This window comes from Homo sapiens, chromosome 19, assembly GCF_000001405.40.
Source record: "Homo sapiens chromosome 19, GRCh38.p14 Primary Assembly".
NCBI classification, from domain to species: Eukaryota; Metazoa; Chordata; class Mammalia; order Primates; family Hominidae; genus Homo; species Homo sapiens.
In genome coordinates, this window is record NC_000019.10 from 39,083,788 (window position 1) to 39,111,493 (window position 27,706).

The 27,706-nt window shown below is 49.7% G+C and overlaps 1 protein-coding gene across 12 annotated transcripts, besides 2 other annotated features; it reads left to right on the forward strand.

Moving 5' to 3' along the window:
- ACP7 (acid phosphatase 7, tartrate resistant (putative)) lies at positions 1–27,706 on the forward strand. Of its 12 annotated transcripts, none has more exons than XM_017026807.3 (13): positions 1–170; positions 1,305–1,603; positions 14,671–14,871; positions 15,173–15,355; positions 16,440–16,563; positions 16,793–16,855; positions 16,952–17,066; positions 17,162–17,269; positions 17,363–17,420; positions 17,501–17,568; positions 17,679–17,750; positions 23,160–23,297; positions 26,266–27,706. In XM_017026807.3, the coding sequence occupies exons 2-13, from the start codon at positions 1,483–1,485 to the stop codon at positions 26,329–26,331; spliced, it is 1,317 nt and encodes a 438-aa protein (XP_016882296.1). In that variant the 5' UTR covers positions 1–170; positions 1,305–1,482; the 3' UTR covers positions 26,332–27,706. The 12 variants fall into 12 exon arrangements, with proteins under 12 accessions (XP_016882296.1, XP_047294780.1, XP_011525268.1 ...); XM_011526966.4 differs by lacking the exon at positions 1–170 and adding an exon at positions 581–725; NM_001004318.3 differs by lacking the exon at positions 1–170 and adding an exon at positions 581–613.
- Positions 434–934: an enhancer, noted in NCBI's record as "H3K4me1 hESC enhancer chr19:39574861-39575361 (GRCh37/hg19 assembly coordinates)". NCBI's record gives its function as "activates a minimal SCP1, AML or CMV promoter by ChIP-STARR-seq in primed H9 embryonic stem cells {active_cell/tissue: H9 hESC(primed)}" and the evidence as "EXISTENCE:reporter gene assay evidence [ECO:0000049][PMID:30033119]".
- Positions 26,647–26,716: an enhancer, noted in NCBI's record as "active region_14612". NCBI's record gives its function as "activates an Ori minimal core promoter by ATAC-STARR-seq in GM12878 lymphoblastoid cells {active_cell/tissue: GM12878}" and the evidence as "EXISTENCE:reporter gene assay evidence [ECO:0000049][PMID:35858748]".

The window sequence follows — 27,706 nt, forward strand, 5'->3', positions numbered from 1 at the left end:
AGCGAGGTTGAATAACTCACCTAGGTCGCACAGCTCAGAAAGCCCACTGCAATTCCGGGATTCTGGTTTTGTTTTGAGGTTGCCCCGGGCTTCTGAGGAGGGGTCAGTGGGCTCAGCATGGAAAGGAAGGAAGCCGGAAGGCTGGAGGAAGATGCAGCGAGGCTGGAAAGGTTGGGGATCCCCCGGTCCTGCACACCTGGGTACCTGGGGATCGGGCAGGGCCAGGATAGGGGCCGGTGTCCGTGCCCTGGGGCTCCCCAGCTGATGAGTGGGCGCCTGAGGGACGAGCGCAGGGTTACCTGCCTGGGCTCTCACCTGGTGGCCGGCTCAGAGGTGGCGCGCCGGAGACGTATCATAACCTTCCTGGGTCCCCCTTCCCGCGCCACGCCCTGGTGGGGTGGGCGGGTGGGTGTGGGGCGCCCAGGCAGGACCGGCCGGACCTGTGGGACCCGGGGCCCTGGCTGTCTAGGGAGGCTGTCACCCCGAGGCGACCGGCTCTTCCGGGGCTGGGACGGCTGTAGGCGGCAAGAGGCCTCGGCACCCGCGAACTCATAAATACCGGGGCGGCGCTGGTGGCGGGAGAGGCGCGTGCGGGCAGCCGGCGCCCCCGAGGGTGAGCCGGGGTCCGGGAGGGCGTCCCCTTTCCCGGATGGTCCCGACCCGGCTCCATCCTGGCAGCTGGAGACGGAGCTGGAGCAGGCGGGAAAGCGCTGGAGAGAAGGGGGGTGGGTACAGATGGGGGAAGGGCAGGGACGCTGGGGATGGGGAGAGAGGATGCGGCCGCTCTGGCCATGATGGGCTCTAAAGGATCTGGGGGTGGTGTGGGAGGATTGGGGTCACTAGGAGCAAAATAGAAGGCTAAGGATGGAGTAGGGAGGCGAGGTCCCGGGGGCAGGCGGGAATGCTTGGAATCTCGGGAGTAGGTAGGAGAACTGGGGTTTCTAACAGCAGGATGGAAAGCTGGGGATGGGGCTGCGGAATGCAACCTCCTACACAGCCTCCACCCCGCTCCCAGACCCCCAGCACTGAGAGTGAGCTCTGGTTAGGAGCAAGGCTCTGGAATCAGGCCCTCCTGGGTTCAAATCCTGGCTCCATCCCATCCTAGCTGTGCAGCTGAATCACTCAGCTGCTCGGTTTCCTCATCTGTGATATGGGGATGACAATGCTCACAGCCACCACTTCATAGCAATGTCGTGAGGCTTCCGTGAATTAATCTATGTCAAGCGGTTGGCACACTGTGAGTGAGGCTCAGAGAGCTCTGCTGCTGTTCCTTAGCGATTCTTATTTTTGGTTTCTCTCTCCAGCACCTGGATAACCACCCATCTTGAAGGAGACCTCCCTGCCCTGCCTCTGTTGTCCCCCAGAGCACTGCCTGATCATCCTCTGTTCCCCATCCTCCCAGCCCTTCCTGCTGTACCTGTGGGGAGCTGATCTCCTCAGTCCCCCTGCTTTTCCCCGGTCTGCCATCACCACCCCACCACCATGCACCCCCTTCCTGGCTACTGGTCCTGTTACTGTCTACTCCTGCTATTCTCCTTGGGAGTCCAGGGGTCCCTGGGGGCTCCCAGCGCTGCCCCAGAGCAAGTCCATCTGTCTTACCCAGGTAAGTGTCCCTGACTCATTTCTATGCCTCTACCAGAGAGGCCCAGCGGTGCTTCGTTGTTTGAGGGCTCAGGAATCCCACACTGTGAGCCCCTAGGCGGGTGGCTCATTCCTCCTGAGCCTCCATCATCCACCTCTGTGGAATAGGAAGTACAGGCTGTGGAACACCTGGAAGTGTGGGGAATGATCATGGTGCTCAGCCCACAGAGAGTGCTCCCCTGCTCTCAAAAGGGGACCGCTGCTGTCCTTGTTCATTGCATCTCTGTTGTGTTTCCGGGACCTGGCACGTTTGTTCGTTCATGCACGGTAGGCCTCAGAGCCAGTTGTGGAAGGAACCAGTGGATGAATGATAACAGAGCTGGGTTACCCAGCCCCTTCTCCATCCCTCTTCTCCTCTTCCCCACGAGGCTGACTGCCTCCCGATCTTTGATTAGGATCCTTCCACTGTGGGAGTAAGAGCTTGGACTCTGGACCATTGGCACCCAGACCACGTGGGTTAGAATCCCAGCTTTGCTATGTACCTGCTGCCTAATCTTGGGCAAGTGGCTTAACCTCTCTGTCCTCAGTCTCCTCATCTGGATAATGGGGTAATATTAGTACAACCTCATGGTGAGGTGTAAATGAGTTGCTACCTGTAAAGGGGCAGAACTGAGGCTGAGTGTGGGGGCTCACACCTGTAGTCTTAGCAGTTTGGGAGGCTGAGGCGGAAGGATCACTTGAGCTCATGAGTTTGGGACCAGCCTAGGAAACATAGTGAGACCTCTGCCTCTTAGGGAAAAAGAAAAAATCTTAGACAGGTGTGGTGGCATGCACCTATAGTCCCAGCTACTTGGGAGACTGAGGTGGGAGGATCGCTTGAGCCCAGGAGTTCAAGGCTGCAGTGAGCCATGATTGGCCACTACACTCCAGCCTGGGCAACAGAGAGAGACCCTGTCTTTAAAAAAAAAAATGTGGAGGAGGCCAGGCACAGTGGTGCATGCCTGTAATCTCAGCAATTTGGGACACTGAGGTGGGTGGATCACTTGACCTCAGGGGTTCAAGACCAGCCTGGGTAACATGGGTGAAACCCGGTCTCTACAAAAAAATTAAAAAATTAGCTGGGCATGGTGGCTCACGCCTGGTCTCAGCTGCTTGGGGAGCTGAGGCAAGAGGATCGCTTGAGCCCAGGAGGCAAAGGTTGCAATGAGCCAAGATCATGCCATTACACTCCAACCTGGCTGACAGAATGAGGCCCTGTCTCAAAAAAAAAAAAGGGGGGGGGGAGGGGGATAGAACGGAGCTTGGCATGTAGCAGCAATTTCCATACACTTTAAATCTCAGGACTGTTTGTTTTAAACTGTTAATCTCAGGACCATTTTACATCACTAAATTTTATGGAGAACTAAAATTTATGGAGAAGTTCAAAGAGCTTTAGTTTATGTGCATTACAGCTAGCAATATTTACTAAATAAGGTATTAAAACTGAGGCATTTAAAATTTTTTATTGTCATTTAAAATTAACAATAACAAACACCTTCAGTATTAATGTATATGATATTTTTAAGGAACAAACTGTATTTTGCAAAAGAAGAAATTGAGTGAGGAAAGTGGCATTGACTTGCATCTTTTAAAAATCTTTTATTTATTTATTTATTTTTGAGACAGGGTCTCGCTCTGTCAACCAGGCTGGAGTGCAGTGGCACAGTCTTGGCTCACTGCAGCCTCTGCCCCGCAGGGTTCAAGTGATTCTCCCACCTCAGCCTCCCGAGTAGCTGGGATTACAGGCACCCACCACCCCATACTTGGCTAATTTTTGTATTTTTTATACAGATGGAATTTCACCATGTTGCCCAGGCTGGTCTTGAATTCCTAAGCTCAAGCGATCCTCCAGTCTCGGCCTCCCAAAGTGCTGGGATTACAGACATGAGCCACCGCGCCCCGCCTAAAATCTCTTTAGTATCTGGTTTGGTAACTGACAACTGGATTCTCCTCAGATCTGTTTTCATTTTAGTCTGTTGTGATTTGTTGTTTTGGATTTTGCCTGTGAAGAAAATCTGTTCTTGCACAGACATGTGGTTGAAACAGGGAGAAAAGTTGCTTGTTTTTTGACACAGGGTTTGGCTCTGTCAGGGTTTGGCACTGGAGTGCAGTAGCACAAACATGGCTCACTGCAACCTCAACTCCGAGACTCAAGCGATCCTCCCACCTCAGTCTCTTGAATAGCTGGGACCACAGGGGCATGACACCATGCCCAGCTAATTTTGTTTTTTTTTTTTTTTTTTTGAGATGGAGCCTCACTCTGTTGGCCAGGCTGTAGTGCAATGGCATGATCTTGGCTCACTGCAAGCTCCACCTCCTGGTTTCAAGCGATTCTCCTGCTTCAGCCTCCCAAGTATCTGGGATTACAGGCATGCACCACCACACCTGGCTAATTTTTGTATTTTTAGTAGAGACGGGGTTTCACCATGTTGGCCAGGCTGGCCTCGAACTCCTGACCTCAAGTGATCCACCCACCTCTGCCTCCCAAAATGCTGGGATTACAGGCGTGAGCCACCGTGCCTGGCTCTAGTCCTACTCTTTTCTATCTGTGCCAGTTCCTCAGTCATTCCTTATCTTTCCTTGTTTTTCATGTCTTTTACATCTTCAAAGAAGATAGTTTCTTCTTTTTTTTTAGATAGGGTCTCACTCTGTCACCCACGCTGGAATGCAATGGCGCAATCATAGCTTACTGCAGCCTCTAACTTCTGGGCACAAGTGATCCTCCTGACTCAGCCTCCTGAGTAGCTGGGACTACAGACGTGCACTACCATGCCTGGCTAATTCTTTTTATTTTTTGTAGAGACAAGGTCTCACTATGTTGTCCAGGCTGGTCTCAAACTCCTGGGCTCAAGTGATCCTCCCACCTCAGCACCCCAAAGTGCTGGGATGACAGGGGTGAGCCACCATGCCCAGCAGAGAGAGGGTTTCTTAAAGGTTAGTTGCAATGTGGAATCAGAAACCACATGAATGAACTGGCTTGGCATTTGCCAGCCTAGTGACCTTGGACAAAGCGCTTTGCCTGGAGGCCTCTGTAAAAATGGGAAAGGCAGTAAAAACCCATCTCGTAGTGCTGCTGTGACAATCCAGTGAGATCATGGCTGTCCTTTTTCAGCCTACACAGTAACAATGGCAAATACACTCTTATAAGTGCTTTAGACGGATAACTCATTTAACCTGGTATCAACCTTAAGCTGTAGGTACCATTGCTACTCCCATTTGACAAGAGAGACTCACAGCAGGGGAAGAGTCTGACCCCAGTTCACACAGCCTGGGAATCTGAATGCCGGCAGGCTAGCTCAGAAGCCCACGATCTTTGTGGGTTTGTTTGTTTGTTTGTTTGTTTGTTTGTTTGTTTTGAGACAGAGTCTCACTCCGTCGCCCAGGCTGGAGTGCAGTGGTGTGGTCTTGGTTCACTGCAACCTCTGCCTCTCAGGTTCAAGGGATTCTCCTGCCTCAGCCTCCCGAGTAGCTGGGACTACCAGCGCGCATCACCATGCCTGGCTGATTTTTGTATTTGTATTTTTGCATTTTTTTTTTTTTGAGTCGTAGTCTCACTCTGTTGCCCAGGCTAGAGTGTAGTGGTGAGATCTTGGCTCACTGCAACCTCTGCCTCCCAGGTTCAAGCGATTCTCCTGCCTCAGTCTCTCAAGTAGCTTGGACTACAGGTGCATGCCACCACACCCAGCTAATTTTTGTATTTTAGTAGGGACGGGGTTTCACCGTGTTGCCCAGGCTGGTCTCGAACTCCTGACCTCAAGTAATCTACCCACCTCGGCCTCCCAAAGTGCTGGGATTACAGGCATGAGCCACTGTACCCGGCCCCTAATTTTTGTATTTTTCAGTAGAGATGGGGTTTCACCATGTTGGGCAGGTTGATCTTGAACTCCTGGCCTCAAGTGATCCACCCGCCTCGGCCTCCCAAACTGCTGGGATTACAGGTGTGAGCCACCATGCCCGGCCTATTTTAAAACTTTTAAATTTTGTACTACTTTTGGATTTAGCAGAAACATTCCAAAAATATTACAGAGTTCCTGTCTCCCCTCACTCAGTTTCCCCTGATGTTAACATTTTACGTAACCATGAACAATGATTAAAACTGAGAAATCAAGATTGGTACAATCCTGTTAACTAAACTACAGATCTCATTTGAATTTCACCCGTTTTTCTACTAATGTCCATTTCCCCTTCCAGAATCCGATCCAGGATCTCACATTGCATTTAGCTGTTGTGCCTCCCTAGTCTCCTCCCATCTATTAGTTTCTCAGTCTTCCCTTGTCTTTCATGCTCTTGGTATTGCCGAGTACCGATCAGCTATTTTGTACAGTATCTCTCGTTTGGGATTTGTCTGATACTTTCTCACCACTGGAATTAAGTTATGTATTTTTGGCAAGACTATCATAGATATGATGTTGTGCCCTTCTTGGCGCATGATACGAAGAATCAAGATGTGGCTGTGACTTATTGCTGTGACTTATTGATGTTGACCCTGATTGTTTCATTAAGGAGGTGCCTGCTGGGTTTCTCCACTATAAAGTAATTATTCTTCCCTTTGTAGTTAATAAATATCTTGAGGGAGATGGCTCAAGACAATGCAAATCCCATTTCTCCTCAATGTTTGCTCACTAATTTTAGCATCTTGTTAAAAGATCCTGCTGATAAGTGGATCTTATCGGCAACAATTAGTGTGGTATTTGCCTAATGGTGATTTTCTAATTTTCTAATGCCCTCCTTCTTTTTTTTTCTTTTTAAATTTTATAACCTTTGTTTTGTTTTGTTTTTGAGACGGAGTCTTGCTCTGTTGCCCAAGCTGGAGTGCAGTGGCGCAATCTCGGCTCACTGGAACCTCCACCTCCCAGGTTCAAGCAATTCTTCTGCCTCAGCCTCCTGAGTAGCGGGGATTACAGGCGCACGCTGCCATGCCTGGCCAAGTTTTTGTAATTTAGTAGAGACGGGGTTTCACTGTGTTGCCCAGGCTGGTCTTGAATTCCTGAGCTCAGGCAATCTGCCTGCCTCATCCTCCCAAAGTGCTAGGATTACAGGCATGAGCCACTGTGCCCGGCCAATAACTTTTAATTAATTAATTAATTAATTTTGAGACAGAGTCTTGCTCTGTCACCCAGGCTGGATTGCAGTGGCGCGATCTCAGCTCATTGCAACCCCTACCTCCCGGGCTCAAGTGACCCTCATCACTTCTGCCTCTTGAGTAGCTGGGACTACAGGGATGCACCACTATGCCTGGCAATTTTTGTATTTTTGTAGAGACAGAGTTTCACCATGTTGCCCAGGCTGGTCTGGAACTCCTGGGCTCAAGCAATCCACCTGCCTCAGCCTCCCAAAGTGTTGGGATTATAGATGTGAACTACTCGCCCAGCCTTCCCACTTCTTTTTTTTTTTTTTTTTGGTCTATTGTTCCTATTCAATATAGTAGCTCCTTCCATCTAATTGAAATTTTATTATAAGAAAGAGCTGTCCCTCCCTGCTCCCTTTATTACTTTATTCAATGATTTATTTACATCATGGACTCATGGATATCCATTTTATTCCATGGGTGAAAAATCTGATGTTATGATTGTCCCAGATTTGGTCTCTCAGAATTCCTTCAGATTGCGTTCTGTGTTCTTACAACAAGCCTCCATCATTTGTGAGCACTTCCTCACTTGATGACATCACAAATGATTCCAGGCTCCTCTTGTGTATTTCCTGTTCCATCCTGGGAAGCACCTATTTCCCACAATAAGTTCCAGTTTCTTTTCTTTCTTTTTTTTTTTTTTTGAGATGGAATTTTGCTCTTGTCACCCAGGCTGGAGTACAGTGGCGTGATCTCAGCTCACAGCAACCTCCGCCTCCTGGGTTCAAGCGATTCTCCTGCCTCAGCCTCCCAAGTAGCTGGGACTACAGGCGTGCACCACCAAGCCCAGCTGATTTTTGTATTTTTAGTAGAGACGGGGTTTCACCATGCCGGTCAGGCTGGTCTCGAACTCCTGACCTCATGATCTGCCTGCCTCAGCCTCCCAAAGTGCTGGGATTACAGGCATGAGCCACTGTGCCCAGCCCTCCAGTTCCTTTTTATTGGAGTATTTAGAAACTAAGATCTGGGCACTAGGTGTGCTCATTGCCACTGGGATGTCATTGCTTCTAGTTCCTCTCAACAAACACAGCGAGGCAATACATGCATGTACACGAAGCTGCATATTCACACATCTATGTTTGAATCTGTATAAAAATTAATTACCTGGTTGGCCACAGTGGCTCAGCACTTTGGGAGGCTGAGGTGGGTGGATCACTTGAGGTCAGGAGTTCAAGACCAGCCTGGCCAACATAGTGAAACCCCATCTCTACCAAAACTACAAAAAATTAGCCAGGCGTGGTGGTGTGTGCCTGTAATCCCAGCTACTCAGGAGGCTGGGGCAGGAGAATCACTTGAACCTGGGAGGCGGAGGTTGCAGTGAACCAAGATCACACCACTGTCCCTCCAGCCTGGGTAACAGAGCAAGACAACAACTAAAAAAATAAAAAAATAAAAAAATTGAATTACCATGAGATCATACTGATATCCCTGATTTCAGCCCAGCACCATGGGTTTATTTTAGCCTTATCTTTCCTTATTTGTAACTTCTTTCTCTAACACTCAGAAACTTCACTCTGTCTACGATATATTTATTTGTTTAATCCTAGTGTATACATAAAGCATGCGGTGGCTCACACCTGTAATCTCAGCACTTTGGGAGGCAGAGGCAGGTGGATCACCTGAGGTCAGGAGTTCAAGACCAGCTTGGCCAACATGGTAAAACCCGGTCTCTACTAAAAATACAAAAAATTAGCCATGTGTGTTGGCAGATGCCTGTAATCCCAGCTACTTTGGAGGCTGAGGCAGAAGAATCGCTTCAACCCGGGAGGCAGAGGTTGCAGTGAGCCGAAATTGTGCTATTGCACTCCAGCCTTGGCAACAAGTGCGAAACTCTGTATATATATATATATATATATATAGCAGTTGCAGAATCATTTACAGGTGTGCCTGTGGGAAGCACACGATGCCAAGGTGACAGCCTTTATGCACAGTCCTTTTTGTCTTTTGTCTTGTAATAATACCCAGTTAGGACACTGTTTCTTGCGGTTATTATTCTTCCTCACCCCCTTCCATGTGGTTATGTTATGCTTTTTTTTAATCTGGTTAGGTCCACTTATTAGTGTTTCTATTCCATATTGGGTTCCCCCCACACCCTGATAGTTTTAATTATTTATTTTGTGGGTGTGTGAGGGAAATGTGAAACATGACTATAGTTCCAGGAGTCAAAATTATACGAAAAGCCTGACTCAGACCAGTGTCTCTGTTTCTTCATCCCTACTACTCTTTCCCATTCCTCTTTTTTTTTTTTTTTTTTTTTTTTGAGATGGAGTCTCGCTCTGTCACCCAGGCTGGAGTGCTGTGGTGTGATCTCGGCTCACTGCAACCTTCGCCTCCCAGATTCAAGCGATTCTCCTGTCTCAGCCTCCTGAGTAGCTGGGACTACAGGTGTGTGCCACTACACCCAGCTAATTTTTGTAGTTTTGGTAGAGATGGGGTTTCACTATGTTGGCCAGGTTGGTCTTGAACTTCTGACCTCAGGTGATCCACCTGCCTTGGCCTCCCAAAGTGCTGGGATTACAGGCGTGAGCCACCGCGCCTGGCCCCCGTTTCTTTCTTTTCTTTCTTTTTTTCTTTTTCTTTCTTTCTTTCTTTCCTTCTTCCCTCACTCCTTTCTTTCTTTCTCTTTCTTTCTTTCTCTCCTTCCTTCCTTCCTTCTTTCTTTGTTTCTTTCTTTCTCTCCCTCTCTCTCTCTTTCTCTCTCTCTCTCTTTCTTTCTTTCTCTTTCTTTTTTTCGAGACGGGGTCTTGCTCTGTCACCCAGGCTGGAGTGCAGTGAGTGGCACAATCTCAGCTCACTGCAACCTCCGCCTCCTGGGTTCAAGTGATTCTCCTGCCTCAGCCTCCTGAGTAGCTGGATTACAGGCACGCGCCACCCTGCCCAGCTAATTTTTATAGTTTTAGTAGAGACCGGGTTTTGCCATATGGGCCAGGCTGGTCTCGAACTCCTGACCTCAAGTGACCCACCTTCCTGAGCCTCCCAAAGTGCTGGGATTGCAGGCATGAGCCATCGCGCCCAGCTAATTTTTGCATTTTTAGTAGAGATGGGGTTTCACCATGTTGGCCAGGCTGGTCTCAAACTCCTGGCCTCAAAGTGATCTACCCACCTTGGCCTCCCAAAGTGCTGGGATTACAGGCTGAGCCACCATGTCTGGCCTCCTCTTTTCTTCTACCTCATTTTCCACTCATCCCCTGTAAGTAATTCATCTCTTTAGTACCTGGTGTACCCTTTCTTTATTTCTTTTGTACAAATGAACAGAGACACCTGCATATTTTCTATACCCCCTTACATTAAGGGCAGCTAACTATACTCTTATGCACTTTGCTTTTTTTGGTTTAACAATATGTCCTGGAAACATTTCATAGCAGTTCTTGGAACTTGTCCTCATTCTTTTTTACACCATTGTGTGGATGTTATTGAGTCACTCTCCTAAATATGGGCATTTAGGTTGTTTCCCGTATTTTGCAATTACAAAGAGTACTGCCATAAATAACCCTGAGCACATGCATTTTTGTATGGCTGGAGGAAGAACTCTTAACATTACACTACACCACACGGTATTTTTAAAACCTTGACTTGGGTGCTAACGTTTAAGAATTTGAAGCTATCACTTCAAAATCTGGATTTTCGTATCTATCTGTATATGCTCCTGGGATATAAAAACCACTGTGTAAAGATATGTTGTAGGCTGGGCGTGGTGGCTCACCCAAAGTGCTGATCCCAGCACTTTGGGAGGCCCAGGTGGGTGGATCATGAGGTCAGGAGTTCGAGGCTAGCCTGGCCAACACGGTGAAACCCTGTCTCTACTAAAAATACAAAAATTAGCCGGGCATGGTGGCACGCACCTGTAATCCCAGCTACTCAGGAGGCTGAGGCAGGAGAATCACTTCAACCCAGGAGGTGGAGGTTGCAGTGAGCCAAGATTGCATCACTACACTCCAGCTTGGGCGACAGAGTGAGACTTAGTCTCAAAAAAAAAAAAAAAGATGTGTTCTAGAAGTCAATAGAAAAGCCGGGCACATGTTCACGCCTGTAATCCCAGCACTTTGGGAGACCGAGGAGGGAGGGTTGCTCAAGTCCAGGAGTTCAAGACCAGCCTGGGCAACATGGCAAGATCCCATCTCTATGAAAAAAAAAATTAAAAATCAACTGGGCATGCTGGTTCATGCCTGTGGTCCGAGCTACTCAGGAGGCTGAGGCGGGAGGATCACTTGAACCCAGGAGGCAGGGTATATTAGTTTTGATGCTGTTGATAAAGACATACCTGAGACTGAGAAGAAAAACAGGTTTAATTGGACTTACAGTTCCACATGGCTGGGGAGGCCTGAGAATCATGACAGGAGGTGAAAGGCACTTCTTACATGGTGGTGGCAAGAGAAAATGAGGAAAAGCAGAAGCAGAAATCCTTGATAAAACCCTCAGATCTCATGAGACTTATTCACTACCACAAGAACTGCCCCCATGATTCAAATGATCTCCCTCCACGTACCTCTCACAACATGTGGGAATTATGGGTGTACAATTCAAGATGAGATTTGGGTGGGGACACAGAGCCAAACCATATCATTTTGCCTCTGGCCCCTCCAAATCTCATGTCCTCACATTTCAAAACCAATCATGCCTTCCCAACAGTCTCCCAAGGTCTTAACTCATTTCAGCATTAACCCAAAAGTCCACAGTCCAAAGTCTCATCTGAGGCAAGTCAAGACCCTTCCACCTATGAGCCTGTAAAATCAAAAGCAAGCTAGTTACTTCCTAGATACAATGGGGGTACAGGTATTGGGTAAATACAGCCATTCCAAATGGGAGAAATTGGCTAAAACAAAGGCATTACAGGGCCCATGCAAGTCCAAAATCCAGCAGGGCAGTCAAATTTTAAAGCTCCAAAATGATTTCCTTTGACTTCAGGCCTCACATGCAGGTCTCACTGATGCAAGAGGTGGGTTCCCATGGTTGTGGGCAGCTCTGCCCCTGTGGCTTTGCAGGGTATAGCCTCCCTCCTGGCTGCTTTCACAGGCTGGCATTGAGTTTCTGCAGCTTTTCCAGGAACACAGTGCAAGCTGTTGGTGGATCTACAATTCTGGAGTCTGGAGGACAGTGGCCCTCTTTTCACAGCTCCACTAGGTGGTAACCCAGTAGGGACTCTGTGTGGGGGCTCCAGCCCCACATTTCCCTTCTGCACTGCCCTAGCAGAGGTTCTCCATGAGAGCCCCACCCCTACTTCTGCCTGGGCATTCAGGCGTTTCCATACATCTTCTGAAATCTAGGCAGAGGTTCCCAAACCCCAATTCTTGACTTCTGCGCACCTGCAGGCTCAAAACCATGTGGAAGCTGCCAAGGCTTGGGGATTGCACCCTCTGAAGCCACGGCCCAAGCTCTATGTTGTCCCCTTACAGCCACAGCTGGAGCAGCTAGAATGCAAGACACCAAGTCCCTAGACTGCACACAGCACAGGGACCCTGGGCCCTGCCCATGAAACCATTTTTTCCTCCTAGACCTCTGGGTCTGAGATGGGAGGGGCTGCCGCAAAGGTCTCTGACATGCCCTGGAGATATTTTCCCCATTGTCTTGGGGATGAACGTTCATCTCCTCGTTACTTATGCAAATATCTGCAGCCAGTTTGAATTTCTCCTCAGAAAATGGGGTTTTATTTTCTATCCCATCATCAGGCTGCAAATTTTCTGAACTTTTATGCTCTGCTTCCCTTTTAAAACTGAATGCCTTTAACAGGACATCTTGAATGCTTTGCTGCTTAGAAATTTCTTCCACCAGATACCCTAAATCATCTCTCTCAAGTTCAAAGTTCCAATAATCTCCAGGGCAGGGGCAAAATCCACCAGTCTCTTTGCTAAAAGATAACAAGAGTCACCTTTGCTCCAGTTCCCAACAAGTTCCTCATCTCCACCTGAGAGCACCTCTGCCTGGATTTCATTGTCCATATCATTATCAGTATTTTTGTCAAAGCCATTCAACAAGTCTCTAGGAAGTTCCAAATTTTCCCACATTTTCCTGTCTTCTTCTGAGCCCTCTAAACTTTCCGACCTCTGTCTGTTACCCAGTTCCAAAGCTGCTTCCACATTTTCAGGTATCTTTTCAGCAACACCCCACTCTACTGGTACCAGCTTACTATATTAGTCCATTTTCATGCTGCTGATAAAGACATACCCAAGACTGGGAAGAAAAAGAGGTTTAATTGGACTTACAGTTCCATATGGCTGGGGAGGCCTCAGAATCATGGCAGAAGGTGAAAGCCATTTCTTTTTTCTTTCTTTCTTTCTTTTTTTGAGACAGACAGAGTCTTGCTCTGTTGCCAGGCTGGAATGCAGTGGCGTGCTCTTGGCTCACGGCAACCTCCATCTCCCGGGTTCAAGTGATTCTCCTGCCTCAGCCTTCCAAGTAGCTGGGACTACAGGCACATGCCACCACGCCCAGCTAATTTTTGTATTTTTAGTAGAGATGGGGTTTCACCATGTTGGCCAGGATGGTCTCGATCTCCTGACCTCGTGATCTGCCCACCTTGGCCTCCCAAAGTGCTGGGTTTACAGGCATGAGCCAATACACCTGGCTAGTGAAAAGCATTTCTGACATGGCGGTGGCAAGAGAAAATGAGAAAGAAGCAAAAGTGGAAACCCCTGATAAACTCATCAGATCTCGTGAGACTTATTCACTACCATGAGAACAGTATGGGGGAAACCACCACCTTGATTCAGTCTCCCACTGGTCCCTCCCACAACACGTGGGGATTACGGGAGTACAATTCAAGATGAGATTTGGGTGGGGACACAGAGCCAAACCATCTCACCGAGGTTGCAGTGAGCCGAGAATGCGCCATTGCACTCCAGCCTAGGCAACAGGGCAAGACTCCTCAAAAAAAAAAAAAAATTAGCTGGGCATGGTGACATGTGCCTGTGGTCCCAGCTACTTGGGAGGCTGAGGCAGGAGGATCGCTTGAGCCCAGGAGGCCAAGGCTGCAGTGAGCTAAGATGGCACCACTGCACCTCCAGCCTGGGCAATAGAGTGAGACCCTATCTCTAAGAAAAAAAAAAAAAAAGTCAATAGCTTTGCTGGTACTGGGCCCGTTTCCTGCTTGCTTTGTGGCTATTGCCAGATCTGAGTGATGGCTGCCCCTTTGAGATAGGGCAGGGTCTACAGTCTTGGCCTCCAGACACCCAAGCTGGCAACCCTTAAATGATATCATGTGTGTACAATAGTTGGCACAAGACCTGCACACAGTAAATAATGATATTAATAATAATACTCATTCCCGCATATAACCCTAAGTGTACTAGGTACTGTTTCACGTGCTTTATTTATATTTATTCATCTAAGCCTCATAACAACCATATAGGGCAGAGACTATTATTTTTCCATTTTACAGACAGGAAAACTGAGGCTCAGAGAGGTGAAGTGATGTGCCCCAGGAAAGCTCAGCTTAGAAATGGCAGAGCTGGCTCATGCCTGTAATCCCAGAACTTTGGGAGGCCAAGGTGGGTGGATCACCTGAGGTCAGTAGTTCAAGACCAGCCTGGCCAACATGGCAAAACTACATCTCTACTAAAAATGCAAAAATTAGCCAGGCATGGTGGCACATGCTTGTAATCCCAGCTACTCGGGAGGCTGAGGCAGGAGAATCGCTTGAACCTGCGAGGCGGCAGAGATTGCAGTAAGCTGAGATTGCACCACTGTACTCCAGCCTAGGAGGCAGAGTAAGACCCTGACTCAAAAAAAAAAAAAAAAAAAAAAAAAAGAAAAGAAAAGAAAAGAAAAGAAATGGCGGGGCTGGGATTGAACTTGGGCAGTTCCAGAACCTGTGTCCTTAACCACTAACTGTTCAACAGTGGTCAACGCCCCTCACTTTTTCTGCATATCCCTCCCACCCTGCCCAGGCTTCACTCCCGGTCTACCCTCTGTCCCTTTCTCCCCAGGTGAGCCAGGCTCCATGACTGTAACTTGGACCACATGGGTCCCAACCCGCTCTGAAGTGCAATTCGGGTTGCAGCCGTCGGGGCCCCTGCCCCTCCGCGCCCAGGGCACCTTCGTCCCCTTTGTGGACGGGGGCATTCTCCGGCGGAAGCTCTACATACACCGAGTCACGCTTCGCAAGCTGCTGCCAGGGGTTCAGTATGGTGAGAGGGGCCCCAGGCTGAGCTGTTGAGGAGGAGTGGGAAGAGGAGTGGGATGCAGACTAGAAGCTACCACTGGCCGGTGGCTCAGGCTGGGCTGGTAACTCCACTGCCTATCTGCAAGCCTGTTGTATGAGACCCCAGGATGAAAACGGAAGGTGCCGGGGAAGGCAGACCGAAGGGGCATGGGCCAGCCCCCACCAGTCCCCCCATCTCCTCCCCTCCACCAGTCGGGGAAGGATGGGGTTGGAGGGAGGGTCCCGGGGCGCCCCAGCTGACTGCGACCTTTTCCTCTCCCATTCAGTTTATCGCTGTGGCAGTGCGCAGGGCTGGAGCCGTCGGTTCCGCTTCAGGGCCCTCAAGAATGGGGCCCACTGGAGTCCCCGTCTGGCTGTGTTTGGAGACCTGGGGGCTGACAACCCGAAGGCCGTCCCCCGGCTGCGCAGGGACACCCAGCAGGGCATGTATGACGCCGTTCTCCATGTGGGTGAGGCATCCGCAGGGGCGCGCGCAGGGACGGTGGGGGGCGCGCGCAGGGATGGTGGGGGGCGCGCGGGTCGGGGGCGCGCGGGTCGGGGGCGGTGCTAGGACCGTGGAGGGGACAGGGCTGGGGCCAGTGTGTCTCTGAAGGGACAGGGGATGAGACTGGCTACGGAGACGGTGTCTGTGGCCAACCAGCCTGCCTAGGTTAAAATCCCAACTCTGGCGCTCTTGCCAGGAGCAGGGGTTTTCCCCCGTATATTTTGATTAGAGAGAAAGCTGGTTCCGAGTTCGCAGGACTGTTGTGATGACTACGTTAGTTCGCTTTGCCTCGCAGGGTGCAGGTGCACTTCGGTGTCCTTGTGCTGGTTATTATTATTATTGCTGCTGTTGTTATTTAAGAGGGGGAAGGGAATTAGATGGGTAATGGGGATTGGGGATTGTGTGCTTCAAAGTGCAGACTCTGGAATCAGGCTCCCTAGGTTTTATTTCTACATCTTCACTAGCCAGCTGTGTGACCTGGGGCCTCAGTTTCCCCATCTGAAATGGGAATAATAATAATAATACTCATCTTGGGCCAGGCGCAGTGGCTCATGCCTGTAATTCCAGCACTTTGTGAGGCCAAGGTGGGTGGATCACTTGAGGTCAGGAGTTCGAGACCAGCCCAGCCAACATGGTGAAACTCCATCTCTACTAAAACTACAAAAATTAGCCAGGTGTGGTGGCAAGTGTCTGTAATCCCAGCTGCTTGGGAGGCTGAGGCAGGAGAACCGCTTGAACCCAGGAGGCAGAGGTTGCAGTGAGCCAAGATGGCACCACTGCAGTCCAGCCTGGGCAGCAGAGGGAGACTCTGTCTCAAAAAAAAAAAAAAAAAAAAAAAGTGCCCATCTTGGCCCGGCACAGTGGCTCACACCTGTAATTCCAGCACTTTGGGAAGCTGGTTTTGAATTCCTGGGCTCAAGTGATACTCTTGCCTTGGCCTCCCGAAGCGCTGGGATTAACAGGTGTGAGTCACCATACCTGGCTCTCTCAATTCCAGTGAAAGCAGAGCTGGGCCTGGGTCCTCACCCTCCTTCCGCCCCCTCCCCCAGGAGACTTTGCCTACAACCTGGATCAGGACAACGCCCGTGTTGGGGATAGGTTCATGCGGCTCATTGAACCCGTGGCTGCCAGCCTGCCGTACATGACATGCCCTGGGAATCATGAAGAACGCTAGTGAGGACTGAGGGTGGTGGCGGTGGGCGAGGGCTGGATCAATGGAAATGGTCTCGTTCTTCTTAGTGTCTCCCTTGAGTCTCTCATGCTGCAACATTTCAATTGTGGTAGCAAGAGGAGATGGGGGTGGGCTGGAAGCTGGACTCAGGGCCTGACAGTGGCGGGGTATAGGAGTAGGGCTATGAAATTCAGTCCTTCACCTCCATCCCTTGTACTTCCTTTATTCCAGCAACTTCTCTAACTACAAGGCTCGCTTCAGCATGCCGGGGGATAATGAGGGCCTGTGGTACAGGTAATGTGGGGGTGCTGGGGGACTGGCCCTCTCCCCTGAAGGATGGGAGATGCAGGGGAGCCCTGGTCCCTGACCCCTGCCCTTTGACTCCTCCAGCTGGGATCTGGGTCCCGCCCACATCATCTCCTTCTCCACCGAGGTCTATTTCTTTCTCCATTATGGCCGCCACTTGGTACAGAGGCAGTTTCGCTGGCTGGAGAGCGACCTCCAGGTAACCTGGGTGGAGGCCCCTATAGTCCCCTGGCCAGCCCCACCTCCCCCTCCACCCCTGACTCCTAGCCCCTCACCCTGGGCCCTTCTCCCTAGAAAGCCAATAAGAACCGGGCAGCCCGGCCGTGGATCATCACTATGGGGCACCGGCCCATGTACTGCTCCAACGCAGATCTGGACGACTGCACACGACATGAAAGCAAGGTGAGGTCCCTCCCTGGGAGACAGTGGGGACATGCTGAAAGCCAGGTGGGCGTCAGTCTGCGTCACCCTCACCCGCTCATTCACCCTGCCCAGGTCCGCAAAGGCCTCCAAGGCAAGCTGTACGGGTTGGAGGATCTTTTCTACAAATATGGTGAGCGACCCTCAGGACCCATGCCCCACACCCCACCTCTCCCCAATTCAGAGGTCTGATCCCCGCTTGCTCTATCTCAGGAGTGGATCTGCAGCTGTGGGCTCATGAGCACTCGTATGAACGACTGTGGCCAATTTACAACTACCAGGTGAGGCACGTGAAGGGCTGAGCGCCCACACAGCTGGGGTCAGGGTGGTCAGAAGGCCCAGGCATGGCCTCGAGTGACTGCCTGCCACCCAACGTTGTTCCCTTCCCCAGGTATTTAACGGCAGCCGAGAGATGCCCTACACCAACCCGCGAGGGCCTGTCCACATCATCACAGGATCTGCTGTGAGCAGGGGGAAGGGTGGCTTTGCCTTCTCTCTCTATTCCTATCTATGGAGGGCTAACTTTGTTCCAGACTGAGTGCTGGGTGCTTTATATAGTGGATATCACTTAACCCTCAGCCCTAAGGTCGGGAACTCCTAGCGGTATGTTCATTGGACGGATGTAGGAACAGAGGCACAGACAGGAAAATACTTGCTCAAAGTCGCAGGTCAAATAAGTGGCAGAGGTTGGGAGCTCCCCCACCATAAAGTTACTCTAGTTCCCTTTTTAATTAATAACTACCATGGAGGTCCAGGCACAATGACTCATGCCTGTCATCCTAGCACTTTGGGAGGCCGAGTCTGGAGGATCACTTGAGGCCAGGAGTTGGAGACCAGCCTGGCAAATACAGCAAAACCTTGTCTATACAAAAAAAAAAAAAAAATTAAAAAAGAAATTAGCTGGGCGAGGTGGTGCTTGCTTGTAATTTTAGCTATTCAAAAAGATGAGTCAGGAGGATTGCTTGAGTGCAGGAGGTCAAGGCTGTAGTGAGCTGAGATCTCACCATTGCACTCCAGCCTGGGCAACAAAATGAGACCCTTTCTCTCACACACACACACACACACACACACACACACACACACAAAAGATACTGGGTGGCTAGGTGCAGTGGCTCATTCCTGTAATCCCAGTACTTTGGGAGGTTGAGGCAGGAGGATTGCTTGATCCTAGGAGTTTGAGGCTACAATGAGTTATGATCGCACCAATGCACTCTAGCCTGGGTGACAAAGCAAGATCCCATATCTAAACAACAACAAAAAAACTATCTTGGGGGAGATCCTGTTAGACCATGCAAATGTCATGTTTCTTTTTTTTTTTTCGAGACGGAGTCTTGCTCTGTTGCCCAGGCTGGAGTTCAGTGGCATGATCTCAGCTCACTGCAACCTCCGCCTCCTGGTTCAAGAGATTTCCGGCTAATTTTTGTACTTTTGGTAGAGATGGGATTTCACCACGTTGGCCAGGCTGGTCTCAAACTCCTCACCTCAAGTGATCTGCCTGCCTCGGCCTCCCAAAGTGCTGGGATTACAGGTTTGCCTGGCCCAAATGTCCTGTTTCTCCTCAAACTTTCACCCTCTTATTTTCAAACCCATTAGTGGACGCTGCCTGTTAACAGTTATTACTAAGCTGTTCCAATGAAGACTTTTCTTTCTTTCTTTCTTTCTTTCTTTCTTTCTTTCTTTCTTTCTTTCTTTCTCTCTCTCTCTCTTTCTCTCTCTCTCTTTCTTTCTTTCTTTTCTTCCTCCCTCCCTTCCTTCCTTCCTTCTTTCTTTCTTTTTTTTTGAGACGGAGTTTCACTCTTGTCACCCAGGCTGGAGTGCAGTGGCACGATCTCGGCTCAATGCAACCTCCACATCCCGGGATCAAGCAATTGTCTTGCCTCAGCCTCTCAAGTAGCTGGGATTACAGGTGCCCACCCCCATGCCCGGTTAAGTTTTATATTTTTAGTAGAGATGAGGTTTCACCATGCTGGCGAGGCTGGTCTCAAACTCCGGACCTCGGGTGATCAGCCCACCTCGGCCTCCCAAAGTGCTGGGATTACAGACAAGAGCCACTGTGCCCGGCCTTACAGTGCCATTCTAATGGGGATTTTCTGTCGCCCTCACTCTTCCAAGATTTACGAATTGAGATCCTCTTGCAAGGCTGACTTGTGTCTTCTGCCACATTTGTTCAGTTGGTTAATTGTTTATTTATGTCCGTGTGAACTCATGGGTAATTTATTTTACTCTGCGGGTTATTATCCAACATGAGTGTTATTTATCTGGATGTTTAAGTTGTGCCAGCTTTGGCCATCAGTGGGCTCCTGTCTCCTTTCCACTCATCCCCTCCTTATTCTCTGGCACTTCAAAACATTCCAGGATCATCATGTGTTTTTTTTTTTTTTTTTTTTTTTTTGCTCAGCCTTAGAATCTACCCCTTCTCCATGGAGCGAGGCTTAGTTTTTTAATTTTTTAATTTAATTTTAAAAATTTTGGCCACATGCAGTGGCTCACGCCTATAATCCCAACACTTTGGGAGGCTGAGGCAGGCAGGTCACTTGAGGTCAGGAGTTTCAGACCAGTCTGGGCAACATGGTGAAACCCCATCGCTATCAAAAAATACAAAATTTAGCCATGCGTGGTGGTGCACACCTGTAGTCCCAGCTACTTGGGAGGCCAAAATGGGAGGATCATTTGAGCCCAAGAAGTCAAAGCTGCAATGAGCTGAGACTGTGCTACTGCACTCTAACCTGGGGACAGAGCGAGACCCCATCTCAAAAACAAAAATGTTTTTAATAGAGACAGTCTCACTATGTTGCCCAGGCTGGTCTCGAATTCCTGGGCTTAAGTGATCCCCCAGCTCGGCCTTCCAAAGCTGCTTCTTACAAATGATTAAGAGCAAAGTGAGGCTGGGTGCGGTGGCTCATGCCTGTAATGCCAGCACTTTGGGAGGCTGAGGTGGGTGGATCGCTTGAGTCTAGGAGTTCGAGACCAGCCTGGGCAACATGACAAAACCCTGTTTCTGGTAAAATAATAATTATTATTATCATTATATATATGTATACATATATATAAAAGTAAGAATCACTTGTAATAAAAATTCAAACAGTTACAGAGGGCAGGAGGTGAACAGAAGCCACTCACACCACACATTGCCCCACTCTCGGTTGTTGACTCTTTTTAGGCATTTTACAATGTTCTCTGCATATACAAAGGAGTAATTGTTTAGATAGAGACATGTTACTGTATTGCTTACTTAAAAAAAAAAGCACTTAGATCGTGGGTCATGCCCTAGTGGTTCTCAAACTTGGTGCACATCAGAATTACCTATGGAGCTTTCAAAAGTCCAGTGCTTGGGCCTGACCCCGGACAAAATACCAGAATCCCTGGCATTGATCTCCCAGAGTAGCTGCCACACGGAGCATGAAATAGAATGCTGTGAGCACCAGATGGCTTCTCACGGCCCTTGGCAGCCAGGCTCTGCCCATGGGTGATTGCTATTCTGATTTTATCAGCACAAATTGGTTTTTTTCTTTAATTAAGAAATTTGAGGCCGGGCGCGGTGGCTTACGCCTGTAATCTCAACACTTTGGGAAGCTGAGGCGGGCAGATCACCCAAGGTTAGGAGTTTGAGATCAGCCTGCCCAACATGGCAAAACCCCGTCTCTACTTAAAACACAAAAAATTAGCCGGGCATGGTGGTGGGCACCTGTAATCCCAGCTACTCAGGAGGGTGAGGCAGGAGAATCGCTTGAACCCAGGAGGCGGAGGTTGCAGTGAGCCGAGATCGTGCCATTGCACTCCAGCCTGGGCAACAAGAGCAAAACTCTGTCTCAAAAATAAAAAAGAAAAAATAAATTGAAATTATTTCAGACCAACAGAAAAGTTGCGCTAACAATACAAGGACTTTCCATATCCACTTCACCAATATTTCCCAAATATGAACATTTAACCACTTTTATTTATTTATTTATTTATTTTGAGACACAGTTTCACTATTGTTGCCCAGGCTGGAGTGCAATTGGCGTGATCTCGGCTCACCACAACCTCTGCCTCCCAGGCTCAAGCGATTCTCCCACCTCAGCCTCCTGAGTAGCTGGGATTACAGGCTTACGTCACCACGCCCGGCTAATTATTGTATTTTTAGTAGAGACGGGGGTTTCACCGTGTTGGCCAGGCTGGTCTCGAACTCCTGACCTCGTGATCTGCCCGCCTCGGCCTCCCAAAGTGCTAGGATTACAGCCATGAGCCACTGTGCCCGGCGTCTCTTTCATTCCTTTCATCAGAAACATTCTCTACTCTTTCTTCATTTTTCATGACCTTGACAATTTTGAAAAGCACAGCGAGTTGTTTTGTGGAATTTCCTTTGGGTTTGTTTGATGTCTGCTCATGATTAGATAGAAGTTGTGCATCTTTGCTAAGAATACACAAAACAGATACTGTGTTCTTCCCAATACATCCTGCAAGGAGGCGCATGGTGTCTTTTTTGAGTTAGGATCTCACTCTGTCCCCAAGGCTGGAGTACAGTGTTACAATCTCGGCTCACTACAGCCTGGACCTCCCAGGCTTAAGCAATTCTCCCACCTCAGCCTCCTGAGTAGCTGGGATTACAGGCATGCACCACCACGCCCAGCTAATTTTTGTATTGACAGGGTTTCGCCATGTTGCCCAGGCTGGTCTTGAACTCCTGGGCTCAAGCAATCTGCCCGCCTCGGCCTCCCAGAGTGCTGGAATTACAGGCGTGAGCCACTGTGCTCGGCTGCACGATGTCTTTTTAACCTCTTTGAGCCTCTGATTTCTCAGCTGAAAGTGTGGTACGGATGGGTCTCATTACTGATGATGCTTACTTTGATCACTTGGTTAGGGAGGTATCAGCCAGCCATCTCCACCATAAAGTGACTCTCTTTTTTCCTTTGTAATTAACAAGCATCTCCTGGAGAGATACTTTGAGACTATGCAAACATCCTGTTATGCCTCAAACTTTCCCTGCTAGTTTTATCATCCATTCATGATCCTTGCTTCAATCCAGTACTATAATGCTGGGTGCAAAATGGTGATTTTCCTCACCCTGGCATCCTCTCTGCTCCTCATGCCTGGCTTTTCTGCTGCAAGCACGAGCATTCTGTTTCCCCAGGCGCTGTTGTTTTAAAAAGCTTTCTTGGAGGGTCTACTGTGCAGCCAGGCTTCAGATCCAGTGATTTCTCTGTTCTTCAAATTGCTTTTTCTCCTTCACACACATCTTGGCCATCTTTCTGTATCACCCCGCTTCCCTGCTTTGCGATGGCTGTGCTATAATGTATTTAACTGACTCCCTGATGGGCGTTGGGATGGCTTCCAGTTCAGGGCTTTCACTGTAATGCTGTAGTGGGCAGCCTTACACAGCCGTGTACTTTTCTAGAAGTCAGAGACCCGGAGCAAGGGAAGCCTGCCTGGGACAAATTGTTCAATTGTGAGTATTATTGTGGCCAAGTCTTTTTGTTTTTGTTTTTGTTTGAGACAGTGTCACTCCGTCTCCCAGGCTGGAATGCAGTGGCACAATCTCGGCTCACTGCAACCTCCACCTCCTGGGTTCAAGCAATTATCCTGCCTCAGCTTCCCAAGTAGGTGGGAGTACAGGTGCCCACCACCACACCAGGCTAATTTTTGTATTTTTAGTAGAGACAGGGTTTCACCATGTTGGCCAGGCTGGTCTCTGACTCCTGACCTCAAGTGATCCGCCCTTCTTGGCCTCCCAAAGTGCTGGAATTACAGGCATGAGCCACTGCGCCCGGCCTCTATGGTGGTCAAGTCTTCACTGTCTTCCTTGAGGGCAGCAGGGTCCTGGGCTAGCAGGTCATTTCTGCTTCCCCGCGGGTCCTCCACCTGCTCTGGGTCTGATCAGTTCTCCCCGCCCCAGGGCTGTGAGGAGCGGCTGACGCCCTTTGCTGTCTTCCCGAGGCCCTGGAGTGCCGTGCGTGTGAAGGAGTACGGGTATACGCGGCTGCACATCCTCAACGGGACCCACATCCACATCCAGCAGGTGTCGGACGACCAGGTCAGTGAGGGGCAGGCCGAAGTCACCTGACTGTACAGCCAGGCCCCTCCAAGCAAATGAGCTGTTAAAAACGTGGGCTCGGCCGGGCGCAGTGGCTCATGCCTGCAACACCTGCAATTTGGTGGGGCTAAGGTATGAGGATCGCTTGAGTCCAGGAGTTCAAGACCAGCCTGGGTACCATGGTGAGACCTAGTCTCTACAAAAAATACAAAAAATGGCCAGGCACGGTGGCTCATGCCTGTAATTCCAGCACTTTGGGAAGCCGAGGCAGGCGGATCACAAGGTCAGGAGATCGAGACCATCCTGGCTAACATGGTGAAACCCCTTCTCTACTAAAAATACAAAAAAAATTAGCCAGGCGTGGTGGCAGGTGCCTATAGTCCCAGCTACTCGGGAGGCTGAGGCAGGAGAATGGCGTGAACCCGGGAGGCAGAGCTTGCAGTGAGCCGAGATCGCACCACTCCAGCCTGGGCGACTGAGCAAGACTCTGTCTCAAAAAAAAAAAAAAAAAAAAAATTAGGCCAGGTGCGGTGGTTCATACCTGAAATCCCAGCACTTTGGGAGGCTGAGGTGGGCAGATCACTTGAAGTCAGGAGTTAGAGACCAGCCTGGCCAACATGGTGAAACCCCGTCTCTACTAAAAATACAAAAATGAGCTGGCCATGGTGGCGGGTGCCTGTAATCCCAGCTACAAGGGAGGTTGAGGCAGGAGAATCACTTAAATCTGGGAGGTGAAGTTTGCAGTGACCCAAGATGGCACCACTGCCCTCCAGCCTGGGAGACAGAGTGAGACTCTGTCTTGGAAAAAAAAGGAAAATTAGTCAAGTGTGGTGGCAGATGTCTGTAGTCCCAGCTACTTGGGAGGCTGAGGCAGGAGGATCACTTGAGTGCAGGAGTTAGAGTTTGCAGTGAGCTATGATCTCGCCTCTGTACTCCAGCCTTGGCAACAGAGTGAGACCCTAACTCAAAACAAAAAAACGAACAAATGTGGACTGTAGAACTAGAAACCTGCTCCTGCTGCTTACCAGCTGAGTGACCTTGAGTCACTCATCTAATTTTTTTTTTTTTTTTTTGAGATGGAGTCTCGCTCTGTCACCCAGGCTGGAATGCAGTGGTGCAGTCTTGGTTTACTGCAACCGCCACCTCCCAGGTTCAGGCAATTCTCCTACCTCAGCCTCCCGAGTAGCTGGGATCACAGGCGCCCACCACCACACCCGGCTAATTTTTTGTATTTTTAGTAGAGACAGGGTTTCACTGTGTTGGCCAGAATGGTCTCGAACTCCTGACATCAGGTGATCTGCCTGCCTCAACCTCCCAAAGTGCTGGGATTACAGGTGTGAGCCACTGTGCTGGGCCCACTTATCTAACTTCTTTGCCTCAGTTTTCCCATCTGTGAGAGGGGATAATCATAGTTTCCACCTCACAGGACTACATGGGGGTTGAAGGACTTATTATATATAAAATGCTTAGAAGAGTGCGGAACTTGGTAAATTCTGTAGGTATTTACCATTGTGAGGCAGGGGAAGATAAAGATGGGGGGTGGGACACAGGTAGGGGAAAACAATAAGATGAGTATGTGGTACAGGTGGCTTAAGGTTAGGTGGATCCAAATAATAATGGCTCACCTTTCTTTATTTTTGCCATTGTAGTTTTAAAATAATGACAATATTTATGATTTATTGAGCACCTACTGCATACCAGGCACTGCCTAGATGCTCTGCATTTAGTAGCACTTTATTTATTTATTTGTTTTTGAGACAGAGTTTCACCCTGTCGCCCAGGCTAGAGTGCAGTGGTGCAATCTAAGCTCACTGCAACCTCCACCTCCCAGGTTCAAGCAATTCTCCTGCCTCAGCCTCCCGAGTAGCTGGGATTACAGGCACATGCCACCACACCCGGCTAATTTTTTGTATTTTTAGTAGAGATGGGGTTTCACCATGTTAGCCAGGCTGGTCTTGAACTCCTGACCTCAGGTGATCCACCCACCTGGGCCTCCCAAAGTGCTGGGATTACAGGCATGAGCCACCGCATGCGGCCCCAGTAGCACTTTATACACCAAAACAATCCCACAGGAGTGGATTTCCTCTCCATTTTATAGGTGAGGGAACTGAGGCTCAGAGAGGGGAAGTAATTTTCCCAGGGTCACACAGTTGGAGGACGGCCAAGCTGGGATCTGATAGCTACCATTTATCGAGTGGCACATGCACCGGGCGCAGACTTTTGTGTGCATGATCTCACTCTGTTCTCATGATGACTCTGGGCATCTATTACTTTGTGCATTGCATAGAACATGGAAGTTTTGCTCAGAGAGTCCAGCAACATGCTTAAGGCCACCTAGAGGGTGGATGCGCTGGCCAGGTGCAGCAGCTCATGCCTTTGGGAGGCTGAGGCAGGCGGATCACTTGAGGTCAGGAGTTCGAGACCAGCCTGGCCAACATGGTGAAACCTTGTCTCTAGTAAAAATACAAAAATTAGCCAGGCATGGTGGTGCATGCCTGTAATCCCAGCTACTTGGGAGGCTGGGGCAGGAGAATGGCTTGAACCTGGGAAGCGGAGGTTGCCACTGCACTCCAGCCTGGGTGACAGAGCAAGACTCTGTCTAAAAAAAAAAAAAAAAAAAAAAAAGGAGAGAGAGAGAAAGAGTGGATGTGCTGGAATATAAAGCAAGGTCTGTCTGACTCCAGAGTTTGTGCTCTAATAATAGCCTACACTTACATAGCCCTTTCCATATGCTGGGCTCTGTTTACAAATACTATCTCATTTAACTCCCACAACATCTATGATGTGGGTACTGTTACTCTTCCTATCACTTTTCAGATGAGGAAAACTGAGGCCCAGAGAGGCCTAGCCACTTGCTCAGGGTTGTACAGCCCATCAGAGGGCAGAGAGGGGACTGGAACCCAGGCCATGTGGCCCCAGAGTTCAGGCTTTCAGCTCTAACTACTGTCCCTGTTTTTGTCCCTCACAGGATGGGAAGATCGTAGATGATGTCTGGGTGGTGAGACCCCTGTTTGGCCGGAGGATGTACCTCTAGGGATGGCGGCAGCTCTCCTCCAGAAGCCTAGGTTTTGCCGCCTTGGCTGCTGTGACCAGAAACTGCCCAGGCCTGGGTGGGGAGTTGGGTGGGCCCTGACTCCCCTGCCCTCCAGAGGCCCCATGTAGGGTACATGCAGCCCTATGGAGCTGGGGCAGCTGTTCCCTCCTGGAGAGGTGGGAGTCCTGGCTGGCTGTGGAGGGAGGGCAGGTGTGCGGGCACAGAGTGACACACGGCAGGTTTCTGCTGGCAGGGCCCCACCCTCCTGCATAGCTCTGATCGGGCGAGGTGCCCACGGGGCTTCAGGAATGAAGAGGCTTAAGCTCTGGCTCCATGGATTCTGCACATCTGCGGGGGATGCCGCTGGGCTTCCTCCTCTCCTGCCCACCTGGCAAGGGCATCGCCAGGTGGGCACAACCGTCATGACACTACTCACCAGCAGGTGGCGTCAGGGGCTTTTTCTTCTGAGCCCGGCACTGAGAGTTGGTCTGAAGCCTGGCTCCTTCTTCACTGCTCCAGGACTGCTATGAAGAGTCCCTTCATGCCTCAGTTTCCCAGCCTGGCACCATCTTATTCGGGAAGAGGAGACGTGTTAACACTCTTGCCTCCTAGCTAGGACAGATGACAAACCGCAAGAGCCACAGACTTGCCAGTTCCTTCCCTCTTTCCTTCCTTTCTTTCCCTTCTTTTATTTATTGAATCATAATTTATTGAGCATCTACCATGTGCCAGGCTCTGTTCTCAGTGCTGGAGAGACAGCTGTGAATGAGACAGAGATCTCGGCCCTCACAGAGCTGACATCCTAACCAGAGAGTTGGACAAAAATCACGATAAATGAGTTGGTTAAATAGCGATTTGTGAGTAGAAAACGCAGGGACGGTGAGAGAGCAGTTTCAATTTTCAGGGGGATCTCACTGAGAGGGCAACATTTGATCTGAAGGAGGTGGGGAAGGAGCCAAGTGGGCAGACATCTGGGGGAAGAGCATTCCAGGCAGAGGAACAGCCAGTGCAAAGGCCCTGAGACAGAAATGTGCCTGGCCGGCTGGGTACAGTAACTCACATCTGTAGTCCCAGCACTTTGGGAGGCCGAGGCGGGCAGATCACTTGAGCCCAGGAGTTTGAGACCAGCCTGGGCAACACAGCGAAACCCTTTCTCTACCAAAAATATGAAATTTAGCTGGGCATGGTGGTGTGTGCCTGTAGTCCCAGCTGCTCAGGAGGCTGAGGCGGGAGGATGGCTTGAGCCCAGGAGGTTGAGGCTGCAGTGAGCCATGATTGCGCCACTGCACCCCAGCCTGGGCAACAGAGCAAGACCCTGTCTCAAAAAATATATATAAATAAAAAAGTTTTAAAAAGAGAAAAATAAACAAAGAAA

What these genes read in the sequence shown, in the direction of transcription:
- ACP7 (XM_017026807.3), top strand. Translation starts at nt 1,483, where the DNA reads ATGCACCCCCTTCCTGGCTACTGGTCCTGTTACTGTCTACTCCTGCTA. An exon ending in GGCCAATTTACAACTACCAG is followed by an intron (nt 17,569 to 17,678) that starts GTGAGGCACGTG and finishes TCCCTTCCCCAG; the next exon opens with GTATTTAACGGCAGCCGAGA. An exon ending in ACATCATCACAGGATCTGCT is followed by an intron (nt 17,751 to 23,159) that starts GTGAGCAGGGGG and finishes TCCCCGCCCCAG; the next exon opens with GGCTGTGAGGAGCGGCTGAC.